Source organism: Homo sapiens, chromosome 6 (assembly GCF_000001405.40).
Source record: "Homo sapiens chromosome 6, GRCh38.p14 Primary Assembly".
Lineage (NCBI taxonomy): Eukaryota > Metazoa > Chordata > Mammalia > Primates > Hominidae > Homo > Homo sapiens.
The window spans coordinates 79,033,790-79,054,959 of NC_000006.12; the positions used below are offsets into that span (position 1 = coordinate 79,033,790).

The 21,170-nt window shown below is 34.0% G+C and overlaps 1 protein-coding gene and 1 long non-coding RNA gene across 5 annotated transcripts in view, besides 1 other annotated feature; one reads left to right on the forward strand and one right to left on the reverse strand.

Moving 5' to 3' along the window:
* The window catches only part of PHIP (PHIP subunit of CUL4-Ring ligase complex), a 143,836-nt gene that overhangs the window by 99,371 nt on the left and 23,295 nt on the right, over positions 1 to 21,170 (reverse strand). For all 4 annotated transcript variants that reach the window (XM_005248729.6, NM_017934.7, XM_011535918.4 and 1 more), the window contains one exon: positions 9,054 to 9,214. In XM_005248729.6, the coding sequence (XP_005248786.1) occupies positions 9,054 to 9,214 (161 nt within the window). The remainder of the gene's footprint in view (positions 1 to 9,053; positions 9,215 to 21,170) is intronic.
* LOC124901346 (uncharacterized) overlaps positions 1 to 21,170 on the forward strand; it is a 73,415-nt gene that overhangs the window by 29,938 nt on the left and 22,307 nt on the right. The window lies entirely within an intron of this gene.
* Positions 13,149 to 13,755: an enhancer, noted in NCBI's record as "OCT4-NANOG hESC enhancer chr6:79756655-79757261 (GRCh37/hg19 assembly coordinates)". NCBI's record gives its function as "activates a minimal SCP1, AML or CMV promoter by ChIP-STARR-seq in primed H9 embryonic stem cells {active_cell/tissue: H9 hESC(primed)}" and the evidence as "EXISTENCE:reporter gene assay evidence [ECO:0000049][PMID:30033119]".

Here is a 21,170-nt window from a genome sequence, read left to right on the forward strand (position 1 = left end):
TAACTCTTTTAACATGCATTCCTCACTCGCCTTAATCTTTTCTAACTTTTGAATTAAAGTGAGAGACCTGAGACTCTTCCTCTCACTTGAACACTAAGAGGCCATTGTAGGGTTATTAATTGGATTAATTTCAATAGGCAGGCCCAAGGAGAGAAAAATGGGGAAGGGCCAGTTGGTGGAGCAATCAGAACACATGCAACATTCATTAAGTTCGCCATAAGGGTGCAGGTCATGGCACCCTAAAAAGACTTACAATAGGAACATCAGAGATTATAGATCACCATAACAGTTATAATAATAATGAAAAAGCTTGAAATATTGTGAGAAGTATCGAAATGTGAAAGAGACAAGACTTGAGCATATGTTGTTAGAAAAATGATGCTGACAGACTTGCTTTACTCAGGGTTTTCACAAATATACAATTTGTAAAAAATACAGTATTTGCAAAATGCAATAAAGGCACAATGAAACAGGGTACGTCTGTATTAGCATTTTTCATAAAGCCTAGGCAGTGTCTAGTAACACATTTGACTTTAATGTTCTCATGAAGAAAAGTTCCACAGGTCTTTATGACGTGGCTTTCTACTGTTAGGCACTTTGGTATTAAAATTATCCTCAAAATCCAGAAAAAAATGGCCTACGTACTGCCATGAAAACTTCAAACAACTTCAGACACAGGGCCATGAATCACTTCAATTCGATGCAGAAACCAAACAGCACCTAAAGTCTATGCCCCCAAATTTTAATAATTTAATGAGTTTCCAGAGGTTAAGCTTCAAAAGGCCTAATTGAACTATTTATTTATTTAAAGAAAAGCTAAGTTTCAGAACAACTTGATAGAGCTCTTTCTGGTATGGCTTATTTACAGATACTCTGACTACATAAATGAAATACAGGCCTTTCTATGCAAGGCCAAGAAGTCAATTTAGGCCCAGATGTTGCAAAACTATGAAGTAGACAATTAGAGAGGACAATTCTGTTCAGTAATAAAGTAATTTACAGGAAGCAGCATAAATGACAAGGAATGGTTGAATTCTCTAAGTGAAATCATGCCCCAAAGAGTTAAAGAAATCAACGACTAACATTGATTAACACTGAATGACTAATATTCTTTGAGTGTGCGGGATGGCAACTAAGAAACAACTTGTCCAAACACTGAAACTCCCTCTACTTATGAGATAGAACTGGCTGAAATCAGTTGGAACCAAGATGGCCAACTGGAGTCTGCACAGAACAAGCTTGCTGACATCATAGCCTGACTATCTACCACATTTCATACTAACTACCCTAGAATTTGCACATGTGACCCATGAGGTATCATAATGAGTTAACTGTGCATGCCCAGGGACATTCCAGACCTCCCCTTTCCTTCCACCAAACACCTACTAATCTCAGAATTCACCCCTACTGAACCTGTAATAAAAATACTGCCTTGAAACCAGCATGAGGAGACAGATTTGAGCTTGACCCCTGAGTCTTCTTGGGAGTTGACTTTCAATATAAAGCTTTTCTTTTCTCAAAAACCCAGTGTCATAGTATTGGCTTCTAGTACACTGGGCAGCAAGCCCCCTCTGCTCAATAACACAAGCAGAAAACTGTACACATTGGGAAACAGTTTACTTCTGTTCAGATAACTTGAGAAACCTTAAAATTAAAATATTGACCTATGTACCTAAAAGAGAGGCATAAATTATACAAAGATTACTACTTTGACATGAAAATAAAAGAAATTATGTGATTTTTTAACTAAAAATATCTTAGAGAATTTGGCATTCCTTGAAAACCTACTGTTATCTGGCAGAGTCAACAAGGAGAATTTTAATTTCTCTTGAGGCTACTTTACAGCTTTTGAGTCAGAGATCTCATCTCTTATTGCCATTAGAATAAGCAGTAGAAATGAATGCCAAAAATGTTGTCTGTATTGTCATATTTACTACAATTTCATTTTCCTATTCAAGCTAAAAAGTAACCTGCTTTTCTAGCAAAACTAAAAATTGCGTACAATTTAAATTTGGTTCAATTTTTTTCTAGGTCATTTATTTTCTTTCTTACCAATCTATCAGACCTGTGTTTCATTTCCCTTACAAATCAACCTAAACCTCAGGGTCAAACATTTCAACACATGTCTGATTTCATTCTCGACCCTTATTCATCTATACCACCAATGACCAACCCGGTGTCAATCTAACCATCACTTGCTCTGATACTGCTACCAGGATGCCAAGAAACATTACGGTAAGGAATATAAGCATACTAATTCCACAACACTACGAATTCATGAATCTCCTATTTACTGGGTAGGCTAAGCATTATCAGCAATCATTTTTCCTGTCTCTATTCAATACTCTTCTATTGCCAAGCTTTATCAGTAATTTCTAGAATCCATAAACAAGACTCTCGCCAGACAGAACATTTCATATTGAAAAGTAGAAACTGTTAATTGTGGACCAAATAACTACCTTTCTAAAAAGTCCACACTGCTATTGTATACATCCCACCTCCTTAAATATCATTACATATCAATAATCTCCTCTCGTATCTTCAAATTTGCTATCTTAGTAGTTTCTTCCTCTCAATCCAGTTTTCCTACAATTTACTGTCCTCTAAATGACCATACTCTGCCTCTTTTCCATTATTATCAAACATGCTAAATGCTCACTATTGCTTCTAAACAACCTCCTATGCACTTAAAATAATTTTGAATTTCAAACGTACAAAAGTTTCAAGAACAGTACAAATGTTTCCCATATCTCCATTACCACCTTTCTTCCCTCCCTCTCTCTCCATATAACATACACACATAACTCCATTACCATTAATCTTTTTTCTGAACCATTTAAAAGCAACGCTGGGCCAGGCGCGGTGGCTCACGCCAGTAATCCCAGCACTTTGGAGGCCGAGGCGGGTAGATCATGAGGTCAGGAGATCGAGACCATCCTGGCTAACATGGTGAAACCCTGTCTCTACTAAAAATACAAAAAATTAGCCAGGCGTGGTGGTGGGTGCCTGTAATGCCAGCTACTCGGGAGGCTGAGGCAGAAGAATGGCATGAACCTGGGAGGTGGAGCTTGCAAGTGAGTTGAGATGGTGCCACTGCACTCCAGCCTAGGTGACAGAGCAAGACTCCGTCTCAAAAAAAAAAAAAAAAAAAAAAAAAGCAAGGCTGCTGACTTGATACCCCATTACCTCTAAATATCGCAGTGTATATTTTTCTAAAACAAGGATATTTCCCTATGTAAGTTGGGAAATCAATACTGATAACACTACCAATAACAATACTGGTAACATCCAAATCTACAGGGCCTATTCAAATTTTGTCAACTGTTTTGTCAACAATGTTCTCTTTTCCTTTTTGGCCCACAAACCCATATACACTATATTTAACTGACATGTCTCATCAGGCTCCTTCAATTTGGAATACTTTCTCAGGCTTTCTCTTTCATGTCCTCAGCAGGTTATAAAGAATACAGGCCTTACAATCTGCAGGATGACCCAAAACCTAGGTCTGTCAATGTTTCTTCATGACCAGATCCAGGTCATATTATCTTTTACAGTAATCCCACAAACAAGAAGCTGTGTTTTTCTCAGCGCATCACTTCTGAGAACACAACGTCAACACATCCCAGAGCTAGTGAAGTTAACATGGTTACATTAGTATTTCCAAGGTTTTTCCCCATAAATTTGCAATGTTTGCTCTTTAATTGATTAGTATCTTTGGGGGACATATTGCAAGATCTTCAAACTAAGATCTTCTACTGGTCTTTATCTGCTAATTAAAAAATAATAATAATAATCAGCCACATGAATACTTTGGAGAAGGGGATCCCAGGCAAAGTCCTAATACAAAGACTTCAAGCCACAAATGGGCTTTCCAAGTCTGAAGTACAAGAGATCAGTGTAACCGAAGTACAGTAGCAGAGAGGAACTTATCTTACAGATATTTGTATGTATTTCCCCTAACAGATGCTAAGTTTTCTGCAAGAATGGACATTAGTCATTTTTATATCTCAAATTGCTTGATTCATTCATCATTTGTGGTATGCCTCCTGTATACATCAGATACTCTGCAAGGCACTACAGATCTAAAAAATAACAACAAAGGCAAAGACAAAGCTCACAACTTAATAGGAAAACAGACATCTGTCATGGCAATGTAATAGGAAAATACAATGTATTAGAAGCACAAAGTTAAGCGGCAGTACTCCACATTCAGAATACAGACTATCATATCTTTTAATTGTCAAGTTTTTGAAAGTTTAGTTTATATTAAGTGTATTCAGTTTTTCAATTCCCATTCCCTCTTCACTGCACTGCAATTTCATTCCTATCCCCAATGCTAAAACAGAACATTTTTTGGTCTTAGTCTGTTGGAGCTGCTATAACAAAATACCTTAGACACTTGTTAATTTGTAAACAGAAAGTTATTACTCACAGTTCTGGAGGCTGGGAAGGCCAAGGCCAAAGTGCCAGTAGATGTGGTGTCTGGTAAAGGCTCTCTTTGTGTGTCAAAGATAGTGCCTTCTAGCTGTATCTTTACATGGCTCCCCTGAGCCTCTTTTGTAAGGGCACTAATCCCATTCACAAGGGCTCCATTCTTGAGGCCTCATCTCCTAAAGCCCTCACCTCTTAATGCTACCACATTGGGGATTAATTAGGTTTCAACATATTAATTTTGAGGGGACAGAAACATTCAGACCATAGCAGTCATCAATTACCTTGACAAACCCAAAGGATGTTTTTCAGTACTAATCTTACTTTAGGTTTCTGCCTTTCATGAAATTCTCATCTCCTGGCTTCTAAGACACCACTCTTCTTTTTTTTCCCCTAGCCTCTCAGGCAGCTTCTCTGTCTCAATTATTGACTCTTCTTTTGTCTGCTTTTTTAAAAGCTGAAGTTTCAGCCTTCTTACATTAGATACATACAAGATAATGTATTCCATTTTCCAAGCTGAATGATTCCTAAACTAAATCTTCTCACCTAAATCTGAGTTCCCACTGCCTACTGGGCATTTCTACTTGACTTTCCACATAGATATCTCAAAGTCAATACGTTTCACCTTCACAAACTTCTCCCCTTAAATTCCTACCACAGTAAATGACAGGACTTTCTAAATCACAGAAGTGAAAAAATATGTCATCCTATACTCTTCCATCTCACTCCCTACATACAAATCAGTCTCTCGAGTCTTACAAATCCTATTTTTAATCTGTCAATTCCATCCCACTGTGACTGTTTAATCCCTGATTTCTTTTATAGATCACTGCCAGAAACTTTTTGCCAATTTCTCTGTATATAGAGTTAGTTTGAATCCATCTTCTACAATAATGCAAAAGGGTTCAATGAAAAGAAAAATTCTCCTCACTCTTCTAACCACATCAATCATTAGCTCTCCATTGCCTTCAGAAAAGAAACCCACTATTTAGCAGGTCACAAAAGTATCTTGATTTTGTACCACACCAATATCGCTAGTTCTTTATGATGAGCCATATTTATTCTATGCCATATCCATTAATACACAATTGCATGTTACATTCTCCCAAAGTCTGTAATTGCCTTTCCCTAAGTCTGCAATATCCAATTCGACTCCTAAATTTACCAAGCTGTTACTTCTCTAGTAAATTTCCCTTACCATCTCCTACCACAAGGTTGGATTAGGTATCTTTATCTCCTATGGTATCTCAGTACCTTGTACACCTTCTGTCAAGGTTTTATCACATTATATCAATATTGTTTGTTTACCATCTGTGAACTCTCCAAGAACAAATACTACTTTCAATTCTATATCCCAACTGCTTAAAACAGTGGCTGGTTCATAAAACTCTGAAGTTCATTAAAGGAATGCATAAACTCATTTTCTTTATTATACCATATTAATTAGAATCAGAGAGACAATTTATGTTTCTGAAAAGGGGGGAAAACTCTGCTTTTTATATGGCGTTCCATGTACTTTTGAGTGCCTTAGTTGTGAAAATTCATTAACTCTGCTTTTCTCCGTTAAATGTCACTTAAGGAAATGATTTTAAAACCAAGTAAAAAACATTAAAAGGCTAAAAGAGAATTAGTGAACAAAATCTGACTTGGCAATTATGCTATTTCCCTCCTTGGGTTTTTCTCATTAAAATAATTGGGAAAGCACCCATTCTTAAAATACTGTCATACAAAATAATGATACATTTTCCTAATACAGAATTTCATTATCAATTACAATGATTTCCTTTTTAATTCTTGTATACCATTTATAAATAAGATTTTATTTGGATAAAAAATAAAAGATAAAATTTACTTAAATCTATAAGTAGCAGTAGGAAAAACCTAATGACTGCTTTCTATTTTGTTCAGTACTAATTATATGCATTATTTCATGTAATCCCACAAAAATCCTATGTGGTTGGTACTATTATCATCTACTCCCCTCTCTCTTTAGGTGATGAGAAAACTGGAGATTAAAGAGATGAGGTAATCTGTCAAAGTTTCACTAGTAGAAGTGGTAAAGCTGTGACTAAAAGCCCTCTGATGTCAAAGCTGATGCTTTTAACCACAGTACTGTATGCCTCCAGCTGTGCCTGTTCAGAAAGGACTCAAGAGAATCCCTTGGAAAAAGCTTTCAAATATATATACACAAATATCTTAGAAATAAATCTGCAAGGTCTTAAAATACCAATTATATAAAAAGGAAATACTGGTTGATCCATTACCAAATTGTTACCTCCAAAAATAATAACAGTATGTTCTCTCACAGGAGTGTTTCACTGGTCAATCATGATCTACTATCTTAAAGGCTGATTCTATCTATTTTCAAGACTGATTTCCATAGGACTAGTTAGCGTCTAGTCTGTGCCTAGTGAAATGCAAAAAACACTCAGCACCCACTTTATTAATGAGCAATATGAATAGTGAACATATGTGTACCCTACCACCACTTGAAGTGAAAATAATAAAAATACAAGAATTTTTCAAAAAAATAGTGCCCTCATATCTTCGTTATTTCTTATTGTAAGGTAACATTCTGAAATCTGTAACTCCAAACCACCAGTAAAAAATTACAAATGAGACTGAATTTAGCAAAACAAATTCTATCACATTCTTAAAAAATAAACATCTTTAGACTTTGGTAAGACCATATAAAATAGTACAGTGCTACTTTTCTTCTCTTAATTGATGTGCTTTCAACTAAAGAAATAACCAACAAGCAGCTTCCTCTTCGCATATTATTCTTGTTCTCTAAATCACATGCCCTTAAAAGAAAGAATCAAATGTCTAGAAAAGGATAGCAATTTTTTTCTGTACAGAGCTGGATAAATATTTTAGGCTTTGCAGGCCATATGTTCTCAGTCAAAACTACTCAACTCTGCTGTTGTAGTGCACAGGCAACCATAGACAATATATAAACAACTGAACATGCCTGTGTTTCAATAAAATTGCATTTATAAGAACAAGTGACAAACTGGGTTTGAGACGCAGGCAGCAGCATGCTGAACCCTGGTTCAAAAAGCTCTTCCAAGTCTGTACCTACCACACTCATGAGATAGCAAAAAGCACACTATTTCACTGCATTCTCCCTAAAAAAATTCCAGGAGATTATATGTCTAATTAATATCAAAACATGTAAAATGCTTCATAAAATATGATAAACAAATGCTTACAATCCCTATCATTTTTAAAGAAAGAATTCCTACAAGGTTCTTTACAATGGCATAACTTTATACTGACCTACTGGCACAATATAGTGCTCCTTTTTCATTATTTTAATTTATTACTGTTTTTGAAAGAATTCTTTCAAACATTAGAAAAATCAAATTTACTTAAGGTTTTTGAGAGGTGAATTTGAATATACCCATATTAAACTTGAATGGCTAAATTAATTTTCGATTACTATTTGAGAGCAAATTACTACTGTAGGTATGTCAGGCACTTCAGCAAATATAGAGATGCCTATTTTCCACTCTGAAAATAATACTTGATACAAGAGAACGTAAAAAGGGAAAATACTGATATAAGAAGTGATGTGCAAATGCCTGAGGTAGATTAGAGCCAAGGGAAAAGAAAAGTATAAAAATGCATTCCTACATCCTGCTATTTAGCTGTTTTACAGATGACTGGGTGTATGGATAGAGGAGAAGTAGTAGGTATAAATAGGTCTCAGTTTACAAGCAAATTTACTAAAAAGAGGAATCTATAATTGTCATAACTACGTAAAATTCACAGCTGCTCTCTTCAAAGACAGGAAAATTTCCATTTAACTTCCACTTCAAATTTTCTTATTTCAAAAGAAATTAAAAACCTTGTGAATGAATGCATACCTTCAGCCCACAGGGTAGTGTTTAATAATAAATATCATCATAATAGTGTAGTATTATGCTTAATGAATGTAGATGTTAAGGCACCTGAAAATCAAATATTTCCAAAAGTAATTTTCTCACTTAAAATAAAGCTCAAAAGCTTTGCTTTTCTCTATTCAACAGGTTACAAGAAACAATAACAAATAAACAAACCCAAAGAGGCTCTATAAACAAAACATCAGATATTTTGAAGAATGAACTGTTAAGAATAACAGGTAATAAGAGTATTAGATATGCTCAGAATTTTTTAGCTTTTTTAAAATCACTATTTTAAGGGAAATTTCTCATAGACAAGCAAGTGATTTTCTACAGATAATATAAAAAGGTATATTCAATAATCTCATACAATTATAAAAAGGCACATTTAATAATCTCTCAACATACTTAGATGTCCTTAGTTCAAAATTAAAATTATTTTATGCCATTTTGCAAAATGTCAAACTGTGTATTTGATATATGTTGAGAACCATACTTATTCATGATGTACAACCATATAATAACTGTGACTGTGCTGCAACATGTCATTTAGAAACTTTCTGAATTTGGATAAAGTCCAAATTTAACTAAACTCTTCTGTTAGAGTAAGTGAAACCACCTGAATTTCCGGTTTCCTATTAAAAGAAAAAAAAGCAAGGTTTTACTTCAAGTTCACCTATAAGCAATATTTCCTCAATTACATATATGAATATAAATAATACTTTAGCAATTACTTACAGTAAATATCCGTCTGCCAGTTCGATCAAAAGTTACACAGTACACAGATGACAAGTGTCCAAGAATTCGTTTATGCATTTTCATGTGCTGATACACTGCAGTTGGAACAAGTCGCTCAAGTCTGTATTTCCCATTCAGCTTCCTTGAAAACAGAGTATCCGCTACCAAGAAAAAGAAGGAAAATAAATGTAATCTGGAAATTAATTTTCTTACATGATCACCTTTTAAGAATTCACATACTCCAATTTGTCATGTGCAGGTAAAAATAAAGAAGCTTTCTGATATATATGGCTTCTAGTTAAAAGTCTTTAAAGTAATGAATAAAAACATTGTTTCACCTGAAATAAGTCAGGCACTATCATTCTCACTTTATAACTTAATTTGTAAGTTAAATGACCTGTCCAAAAATCACAAAGTAAGGCATGAAGCTAGGATTAAAGCTCAGATTTATTTACTCTCTGGCTAGTGCTCTTTAAAAACCTAAAGCATTTATATGTTATTTCCTTAAAAGCTGTCTATGAAATAGTTTTTCTTACAAAGGCACTTAAAACTGGAACCCAGTGTACTTTTCATAAATCAGTAACACTTGAACACTCGAAATCTGACATGCAGAATGATATTTAAAAACATCTTTATAACAAGTGAAGATAAAGGAATACGTCATTTGCATTATTAAAAAATAATAATTAAACTGGGAATCTTGCCAAACACCTGTATAATGATTCCTTCTCTGGAATCTATTAGCTCTCCCTTAGTTCTCCCTTTCAACTCATTCATTCTAATCATTATTCAAGATCTGACTGAAGTTTATCTTCTGTCCCAAAGCTTGATACATTGACTCCAGCTGAAAATGTCCTCTTCCATCTAAATTACTACTGTACTTATTTTCTATACTGGTAACTTATGGACAAAGAAGGTGCTCAATAAATATATGTTGACTGATCTGCAGGCACATTATTAACCTACAGATGATCTTCTAATACAGGCTTTTTTTTTTTTTTCTAACAGTGACTGCCATCTACATTGGGTAATTAGCACTAGGGTTTCTCGGTCGAATTTAGCCCTAAAGAAAACTAAATATATATACAAAATACTACTTAGCCAAGGTACAGAGCCCAGTAATTATGCCCTAAAGTTGATAAAACATAAATATATTGGTTGTATTATGAAGAATCTCAGTATTGCTTATATTATTCACATCCAATAAATGTTTGGCTCACACTATATTTCCAACCACTCCACACTCCCGCTGCCCCCACCCCAAACCCCCAAAAAATCTTTGGGCCTGGTGAGGAGATATATAGCCTTTACAGGTTCCTAAGCAGTAATATTTCAAAGAATAATTACACTATGCTTATATGTTCTTTCATCACAGCAATAATTTTATATTCTGATACAGTATTTCTCTTGCTGTTAGCATGTAAGTTCTATGCAACAATCTACCCCAACACTTGGGAATTTCTAAAACAAGGTTTGACAGTTGTCAATTAGCATATTTAGGCTTAAGTTGGTTATATACCAATTTAACAGAGACTCAATAAGTTTCAATCATAGCTTAGACCCCAGACACATTTTCTTCACGCCCAGGAATGGCCTGGTAAAAGACATCCTCCAATGCTTTGGCTCCAAACTTATTTAATGCAAGAATCACACAAAAACCATAGACATCAATTTTCCTGCCAAATGAGAATTAAAATCATCTTATCCAAACACCAAGGATCACTCACATCTCAGACTCAGCTGTCTGTTGTAAGAAAATAAGTGATGACATGCCACAAAAACATTGATAGTATTACCAAGGTGTACTTTAATTCCCTCTATCCAAAATTTCCAAAATGTCGAATTTTAGGAAACTAACAGTGTTCAGGTGTGAAAATATCATTGTTGGAAATAATATATCAAGACCCATTTCTCGATGATTAAGCATTAGTATATAGGTAAGAATTTTTAAGATAAATTTGTTATAAAGACCATCTAAAAATCGGAGATGATAAAGTATTTTATAAGCAAAAACTACTTCTCTTAAAAGAAAATGTTACTGCTTCTTAAACACAGGTTTTACTGAATCTTTGACCTAAACTGGGATTAAATCTATTTTCATTTTGGAAGCCAATTGAAAAAAAAGAATAACCTTTTCAAAGTTACTTTACAGTCAAATTTTCAAGCAACATTTTCCAGAATCACATTAGGTGAAACATATTTATAGCTAAAACTATATTCCACACTACCCTTTGTAATGCTTAGCTACCAATTAACTATTGGCTATCTATACTATGACTATATTCTGAAAGAAAAGGTACTTAGCAGAGTCCTGGCTCTCAAACATTGACAAACTTGTGTTAACAGCACTAAAAAATAAGACATACAGAAAGAACATACGTAGATTCCCAGGTAATAAGGTGGTGGTTCAAACTTTCTAACTATAGGATTTAAAGGAGAAAATGTAAGTATAGTTCAGTAGTTGTACAACTGAAGAGGTTGAATTTGAGGAAGGCTTGACCATATCAAATAGGTAGATAATTTTTATAAAGATAGAAGGATGAGCTAGGACTCACATTCGATGAACTCCCATTTTTTTATAATACCATTTGGAAAATGTCTATCTCTCCTATCAGATCTTAAGTACCTTAAAGACAAAAATTCTCTTATATTTCTCAAACTTGAGTATAGAGCCTTTTAAATTAAAAAAGTATATAAGTAAATCTTCCTTAATAATAAGATATACAAGATGGTTCAATTTAATTTATAGTTTTATGGCAGAAGGGCAAATGGCAATTATTCACTTTCTAAAGAAATTAATAAGAGACCAATTAATTTGAGTAAAAAGGAAATGTCTCTTGGATTATTGGAAGTCCTTAAATTTTATTAAGCTAGAACATCAATTTTTAAAATGAGCATGGTTAAACAGATAAGGGGACACAAAAGGATAAATTCTTTATATGACATTATAATTTAACCTTAAATCAAGAAGCATATATGACTTTCATTTAAAAGTACATTTATTTTCATAAGTATAGTGATAGAAACTATTCTTAAATAAAGCTTCCCAAAGCAAATCTGTTCTTTTTTCACTTGGCAAATTCTTTTTTATCCTCTAGGATCAGTTCAAATGCAACCTCTTCTAGGAAGATTTCAAAAGCATCCTAACTGGTTGCACTACAACACTGCTCCTCTGTTCAAAACTGCAATGCTCTTCATTTCATTCAGAATAAACACCAACTTCCTGATACATCAGCCTAAGACGGCCCTGCAGAAACTTATCTCCCATTATCTCTAACCTTACCTGCTACTTCTCGCCTTGACCTGCTCCAGCCACTCCAATCTCCTGTTCTTCCAACACACCAGGTGTGCTCCAAACTTAGGGTCTTTGCACTGGCTGTTCCCTCTTCATGAAGTCTTTTTCCACATATGGCTAATTCCCTTATACCTTTTCAAGTCTTTTCTCAGATGTCTGTTACCTTCTGAATAAAGCCTAACCTAACCAGCCCACTGAAAATAGCAACACAGCCCCTGCCATCACCCATAACTTCTGATCCCCTTTTATTCAGCTTTATATTTGCTCTTCATCTATCACTTATTACCAGACCTATTTAATTATTTATTATATTCATTGCTTATTTCCTGCCTGCTCCTACTACAAGATAACAAACTTCACATGGGCAGGATTTTATTTTGTTCTCTGATTAGCCTAAGAGCTGACACAGGTTGGTGAATTAACAAATAAATTACATATTAACAAAAATAATTAGGTTTAGTGGGTACAGGGACTCACACCTGTAATCCCAGCACTTTGGGAGGCTGAGGTGGGTGGATTACTTGAGGTCAGGAGTTCGAGACCAGCCTGGCCAACATGGTGAAACCCCATCTCTACTAACAATACAAAAATTAGCTGGTGTGGCGGTAGGTGCCTGTAATCCCAGCTATGTGGGAGGCTGAGGCAGAAGAACAGCTTGAACCCCGGAGACGGAGGTTGCCATAAGTTGAGATCATGCCACTGCACTCCAGCCTGGGGAACAAAGCAAGACTCCATCTCAAACAACAACAAATTAGGTTTAAGAATTAAAAAAAAAAAAAAAAAGGAAGATTTATCTCACAGATTAAAATATTCAAAATATCTCTAAATAGTGCTTCATTTTAACTGCCCTGCTAAATGAATTTAATTGGGAAATAAGGGGAGAACGTATTCACTTAATTTTCTGAATATAGAGGATAAATGAAATAAAAATTCCAGAAATCACTGTTATCCATTTGAATAAAGTCTGAAGTAAAAAAGGAGCAAAATACTGAAGCATGTCATTTGCAGCAAATCATTCAGAACAGCCTTTGAAATAAAGTATATGTGCTCAAGTCTACAAAGCCAATTAGTAGAGATCAACAAAAGGCCCACAACTTCTTAAACATTAGATGTGACTATGCGCATATTCAGCCCTTGGGTTCTCATCCATTACTTCTTTAGGTGCTAGGATAATAAGTCAAATTCCCCCATAAGTCACTTCTTACTTCACACCTAGTTATTTTTCGAGAACTGATTTACTTATCCAATCATAATACTAATGCATATTCAATTTAGAAAAGAACATAAATGAAAGAAAAACCCATAATTCTATTGTCTATAGCAATCACTTTTAAAATTTCGCAAAGGTTTACCTCAAAAACAGCATTTTAACAGCTATGTTGTATTCCTTAATGAAATAAGAGGTTTTAAGTCTGACAGACCTGTGTTCAAATTTGTCACTATGGAGACTTTAAGCAAGTTACTCGTTCTAAACTTTAATTTCTCCAGTTACATTATTAGAGAAACATTTCCATTTACCACAATATACCTGGCTTTCATATTATGCTGTTCTTTGACACCCCACAATTTCACAAATTTTACACAGTCAATTATATTAATATCTTCTACTGCTTTAATATGAAGTTCTCCTACTCAGCCCAACAGTACAATAAACATCTACTTACATTTTCTTTTACTTTTTTGTAGTTTAGATTTCTCACTTAACTCTTTAATCCATCTACAATTATAATACTCATTATGAGGTCTCTAAAGATTATTTTTTCTTCCTCAAGTAACTATTTGTTCCAGCCTTTCCATTTACTAAATAATTCTTTTCTATTAAATTTTGATTACATTATTGTATATATGGTTATATATACATATGTATTTTTTTTTTTTCTGTGCTGGGCCACTGACATGACTGACAGTCTATTTATATGCCAATACCAAAATTTTAATCTTACAATCAATGATGTTTTAATATTTATTTGGGTATTCCTCTCATAAGTCCACGTAAAAATGTTGTATCTTTATTATTTGTTAATTTTGAAAATAAACAGAAAGTTACAAAATTTTGTTGGAAATGTAAATTTAACTTTACTACCAAACTGACATCTTTCTATCTAGAACATGGTGCTTTCTTCCTGTTGTTGGGCCCAAATTTTCAATGCAGATGATTTTTTAAAAAGATAAACATAATAAAGTTACCTCATTTTCTCTCACTACATCATTTGAACCAAGTTCACAAAGAAAGAAAAAGGTAGCTGCCATAAAAGAGTATCTGTAATAACCTTAGTAAATACATTTTTGAAGGCACTAGAAAAATACATGATAAAAAAAACCCTGCAAATAAGTACTATAGCAGAAATACCATTACCTCCCTACAAAATGTTTAGACTTTTTTCTCCTTTTGCAAAGATCTTTGTAAAATGAACAAGCACACATGATAAAGCTGCAATAAATTACCCAAGATCAAAATTAACCATGGTTAAAAAAGATGACTTGGAAAAAAATGAAAATGACTATGAATTAACAAAATACAAAGGTTAGTGTTTTTTGTTATTATTGTTTTCTAACTGTTAATAACAATATAATATGCTATATAATACCTACTCCAGTGTAGGAAAGCTGTTCCCTCTTAATCAGAAATGGAGGACCACAAAAACAGTGCTTACAACTTCTGCCAACTCATGAAAGCAGAGCCCTGCTGGCAGCCTAATGAAATGCAAGGAAAAGCATGTAGCTGTAGATTCTAAAACCTGGAGAACCAATTTTTATACAGTAGAAGAATTAAGTGAGGAGGCACAAGAATATGTAACTCGGAAGGTATCTCAGTAAAATTTGGGCCTTTTCTGCTGCAGAATTGGGGGTACTCAGACAAGACGCATCAGTATTTTATGAGAAGGTTTTCATTAATTTTACTTAATTCATTTTTTATCCTCTTTTGACTAGTTTTACTTTTTTTTTTTTTGAGACAGAGTCTCACTCTGTCGTACAGGCTGGAGTATACTGGCACAATCTCTGCAGCCTCCGCCTCCTGGGTTCAAGCGATTCTCATGCCTCAGCCTCCTGAGTAGCTGGGATTACAGGTGTGCACCACCATGCCTAATTTTTCTTGTATTTTTAGTAGAGACGGGGTTTCACCATGTTGGTCAGGCTGGTCTCGAACTCCCAGCCTCAAGTGATCTGCCTGCCTTAACTTCCCAAAGTGCTGGGATTACAGGCGTGAGCCACCATGGCTGGTCTTGACTAGTTTTATTCTGTGATTCTAATTAAAGAAAACACTTGGAAGGAAAGCTCCCAGGTTTTCTGTAAATAAAATGCAAAAGTAATTATAATTTATAATTAACAACTACAGAAATGATTCCTAAATTAAAATATAAAAGGGAGTAACTTCTAAATAATCAGTAACAGGTTTCATTTTAATCTCCACCATCTGTATTAATAAAGGCTTTGGCTTTCTACAAATACGATTAATAACTATCACTGTAAAACAACAGTTTGGAACTCCATGACACTAAAATTGAGTAACTTAAGAGTACATGAAAACAAATTCCAAACTGATTTACCCCTCATATGTGCCATCTCCAATTTTAGATGATAATTAGATTTTCCAAGAAAATAATGCTATATTCATGACTAGACATCAGAGAGTAATGTCTATAAAAATGACCCTCCAAGTTCATTAGTTCATTACAAGTCCAAATAGTTGTCTATATATGGTGTTGGTGATTTCAGAATTTCTATCAGATAAATGTATTGTGTGGCATAAAGTATTTAATAAGGCATAAAATTACTTGAAATGTTGCTCATTTTAGAGATCCACAAAAGTGTTTTAATGAAAAGGAAATATGAGGGTAAAAAAAAATTGCTAATCATAATTTTCTAACAGAAGTTACGTTAAAGCCAGGCATCAAACCCTTGAGAAAATGGCTATAAAGGAAGAGGAAAGCAACCATGGTTTAGAGTTATGAGAGGTTTTTACTAGGACTTCAAGAATCTGACGATTAAAAAAAAAAAGTCTTATCTGCTGCAATTAATAATGTGGGTATAAATGTCACCATACAATACATAACAAGGAGAGGAAAAAGGCTACAGAACACTCTTACGACGTGTAGCAAATTTAGAGAATAACAGCTAGTATTTACTGAGTGTTTTACTACATGCCAGGCACTATTCTAAATATTTTACATATATTCTCATTTAATCCTCCCTAATCCTTTGAGGTGGATACTTCCATTATTCCCAATAAGCAGATATTCCTTACCAGTAAGGAAACCAAAGGATAAAATGTAATTTACTAGAGGTGAAGCCCAGGTTTAAACTCAGGCAGTCTGGTGCCAAAGACTGTACCCTTAACTATTATATGCTGCCTATGCAGATCAATATTAGAAAAGAAAGACTGAAAGAAAACATGCCAAAGTATGTACAGCAGTTAAGGAGTGAGACTGATTAATTTTTGAGCTGTTCTGTTTTCCAAACTTTCTCTATAGAGCATACGTTCATTCTAATTTTTTATAACTCAATCTACCTCAAGGAATTCAAAAAAGCAGTAGGAAAACTCTAAAATATCTAAAGAGACTAGCTTAAATTCAAAGACTGACAAAAATAAACCTAGAGATAAAGATGCAAGGAATTTAAATTTATTTAATCATAAAAAAGAAACACTAATGCCTAAGCATATTACAGTGTATGAATGTATATTATGCTATAGAGAATGACAATTGCGTATTTGAAAATGGACTGAAAAAATGATATGCTATAAAGAAATAATTCACATCAGTTTTGATTTGAAAGCTGTAAGATAATACTACAAAGCAGGCCATCAACTTTGTTGTAAGATTTGTTTGTGTAATCTTTCCCACTGAATTTTTAAACAAAAAGAGAAACATGTCAAAGATAGTTCAGGTTCAATTTTGTTTCGGAGGGAATCATATAAGGAGGAATGTTTAATTCACTATAGAGCCACAATGGAAAGACCTGTTATTAACACGGGTATCAAGGAAGTAATGACAACCAAATACTCATAATTCGAGGGCCAGAATTAATCTGGGAAATTATTCAACACAGGTTGGTTTACTCCTACAGTACCATCTGGTCTCTACATCATACTGTACCAGCAAGTAGCAACCAACCAACATAGAAACAGGACAAATAAATCACCGTAATAGTAACTATAATGAATGATAGTCCCAATTTCAGTTAAAGTACAAAGAACTGGGTTGCAATATAAAAAGATAATCTTGTAGTCACCTTTTTGTCTACAAAAAAAGGAGGGCAGGTATTGGGAATAGAAGAGTAAGGGGAAATAGTCACCTGAGCAACATAGCACCCATGATAGCTTCTCTCTTCGCTTTAATACTATAACTAAAATAATCAGTATGCACAGCAGCTACTTTCCAGATTTCTAGATATTCAATTTTGGTGTGTAGTTGCACCTCCTGTTTGAAACATACTATGTTTTTAAAATTTAGCAGATACCATAAAGATGCATAATGTCTGAAAAGGAAAACCCAAATACTAAACTGAAATAAAATACAGAAAATGATGATTCCAAGAAGTAAGCAAAAAATTTCATGAACCAACTACATTAAGAGCACTAATAAAAAGGGTAGATATGATAATTATTAGGAATAGTATTTAATCTTCCTCCTATTTTATTTCCTGGAAACCAGTCTGATGCTAGTTCAAGTAGAAAACACACAATGACATAATGTTTTCAGTTTTAAATATTTTAAAATGTTTACAGTTGTTTTAATAACAATTTATTTTTCTTTTAAATAAACATTTTTTAAGTTAGGTGGTTTTTTTTAATGTCAAACATTTTAATCACTCAATTTTGAGTCAACAAACATTTATAGAGCACCTATATGAGCCAAATATGGGCTAGAGAATAAGAGGGAAAAAGAAAAGACATGGTACTTACCCTCATGGAGATTGCAGTCTAGCAGGGAAGAAAGACATGAAACAAGGACTTACAACAATGTTAAGTGTTATCAAATAGAAGGTATAGGGAAATCTTGAAATATATAGCAAAAGGGTTCTAAACACGTTGGGGCTGAGGGGTGGATATCTGGGAGTCTGGGAAAACTTCTCTGAAAAACTGACATTTAAACTAAGACCTGAAAAATGAACAGCCACAGAATGCTGATGTGAGCGCAGCATATTCCAGGTTGAGGAAACAGCATGTGCAATAGCCTGAGGCTGGAAAGAGCATAGCATTCAAGCAACATGAAGAAGTCAAGATTGACTTGCACACAGAGTAGAGAAAGGGCAAGTGTCAAGAGAAGAGACTGAGAAGGTAGGGGAGCGGACTATATAGAGTGCTTTCTAAGCTAGGTTAGGTATTTTGGACTAAATTCCAGTAATAACGGGTTGAAGTTTTGGGGGAGAAAAGAATGGAGTAATATACATAGTAAGATTTACTTTGGGATAACTCATTGCAGTTTTCTCTTGACCACAATGAGAATGAATTGGAAAGGATATAAGTAAAAGCAAAAGCTAACTTTGCAAAAAAATCAAAGGGTTCTGAAAACAAAATTTCATTTTAGAAAAAATTTAATCAGCTTGACACCAAAATTATCAACACTTTCCCAAGGAATTAAATACCTGATCTCATAAGTATCTGGCACTATATAAAAACTTGAAAAGAACACACCATGTTTCATTGTTTCTAGAGTTCAAATACTGAGGCAAAATTCAAACACCTGCTATTACCAAATCAACAAATGGACAGAGCTGGCACATTAACACATAAAGAATTTCACAGAGAAGGCAAAAAGGTGCTATATAAATGTGACATAAAGTTAAAAGCATAAGATCTGAGGTACATGCATACATATACACACAAAAACAGAGATATAATGTCATTGGTTACTGCTTTTCTAAGCTTCAGTTTCCTCATTAATAAAGTAAGATCAGCTGAGTGTGGTGGCTCACACCTGTAATCCTAGCACTTTGGGAGACCGAGGTGGATCACTTGAGGTCACGAGTTCGAGACCAGCCTGGCCAACATGGTGAAACCCCGTCTCTACTAAAAATACAAAAATTAGCCGGGTGTGGTGGTGCATGCCTGCAGTCTCAGCTACTTGAGGGGCTGAGGCAGGAGAATGGCTTGAACCTGGGAGGAGCAAGTTGGAGTGAGCCGACATTGCGCCACTGCACTTCAGCCTGGGCAACAGAGCGAGACTCAATCTCAAAAGAATAAAATTAAATTAAAAATGTAGGGTTATCTTAAAGAGTTGCTATAGAAAACAGACGAGACAAAATGTTTTGCAAATTCAAAGGTATTTTATACTAACATTGATATGGACTGTCCCTAAACAATCAAATCTTCATGTGCCATAAAAGTTAATTTAACTGAACATAGTTTTCTTTTACTTTTTAAAAGACTTTTGTTGGAGCCCAATTTTCCCCGAGGCTTCCTTATGGAGCTGAACAAATTATTCCTTTGTTTATAAAAATATCTATTCAGCCTGATCTGATCATGGACTTCCCAGGTCCAAAAGATGTCTAAGAAAACACTGAATACGTAACTTTAAAGGATCCCTGAAGAAATTCAAAATAAAAAGTCATGACCTTATGAGAAAATAATATCATAATTTGCTTCACCTACACAGATATGAGTATTCAACAAAATCAAACCCAATAATCACTCTGGAAAAATATGTGATGCAAACTAAAAGGGAAAATGGCTAGTGATTCCTAATTACTACTGGAATTGCTTGCCAGATGGTTTATATGAAGTGGAGGGGATATCCCTCATCACATCTATAACCTAAAAACAAATGTTATCCTATTAGTTACAGAAGAAATTAAAACACAGCTAGCTACAAAAGCAACAATTTAAACTCACCTAAGGGAGTTTCATTTCTTCAAAGTTTTGCCCCCTTTTTTTTGTCAACCATTAATTTCAAAAGAAATTTAAGCAGAGGAAAAAATAAATAAATATATATTTTGTACATCTGATACTTTGGCATAATGAACATTATTTCCCTAAAAAAAAAAAAAATGCTAATACACCTTGCAAGTCTCTCACAGCTAACCTGTTTTTAAGAGGCAAAAAAAAGGGAGGAAATAGAAAGGCAGGGGAGGGGCTAGGGAGAAAATAGTTAATAAAACAACAAAACCTGTGTCAAATAGAAATATGAAGATCATTCAGGGAAAACACTAAAAAACAAAGACCAAGACAAAAAAGAATATAACTGAGTCAACAATCATTAAACCAAAAAAAAAAAAGCGAAGTATAAAACCTTTATAAGACTAAAATTATGACTAGAAAAACAGAAAATGAGCTCTAAAAGTAAAAATGGTTACTGAGAAACAATAGGTTAAAATAAATATATTTAAATAAGTGATGAGTAGATATCTAACTAGGAATAAAGTATGGATTGAGTAAGAAAATGGAAAGAAAAAACACTGAATATAGCATATTAGAAAAAGATAAGTGAACAGGAAAAAAACCCCATATATTATATCCTATAATTTGCTGAATTATATGTAACTGTTAACTTATATATTAAAATTATGTAATCTCATATATTTGTAATATAAAAAAATTCTAATAATTATGTAAGAAATATATGAGGAAAAATATAAACCTAAGAGTCTAAGAAAAAAAAACCTTGATTGAATAAATTTAAGAAATTACCAGCTACAGAAAATTCAAACACAATATTGGAAATATGGCAAAATATAGCACAAGGTGAGAAAGAAGAGTCTTCTCTACAAAGATTTGCATCTAGCTTTAAGTGACTGTTTGCTGTCTTTATTCAAACTAGTCTTCTCAGAGAATCACAAAATTATAAATGTAGACAAGATTTAAGACTTTTTTTTTTTTTAAA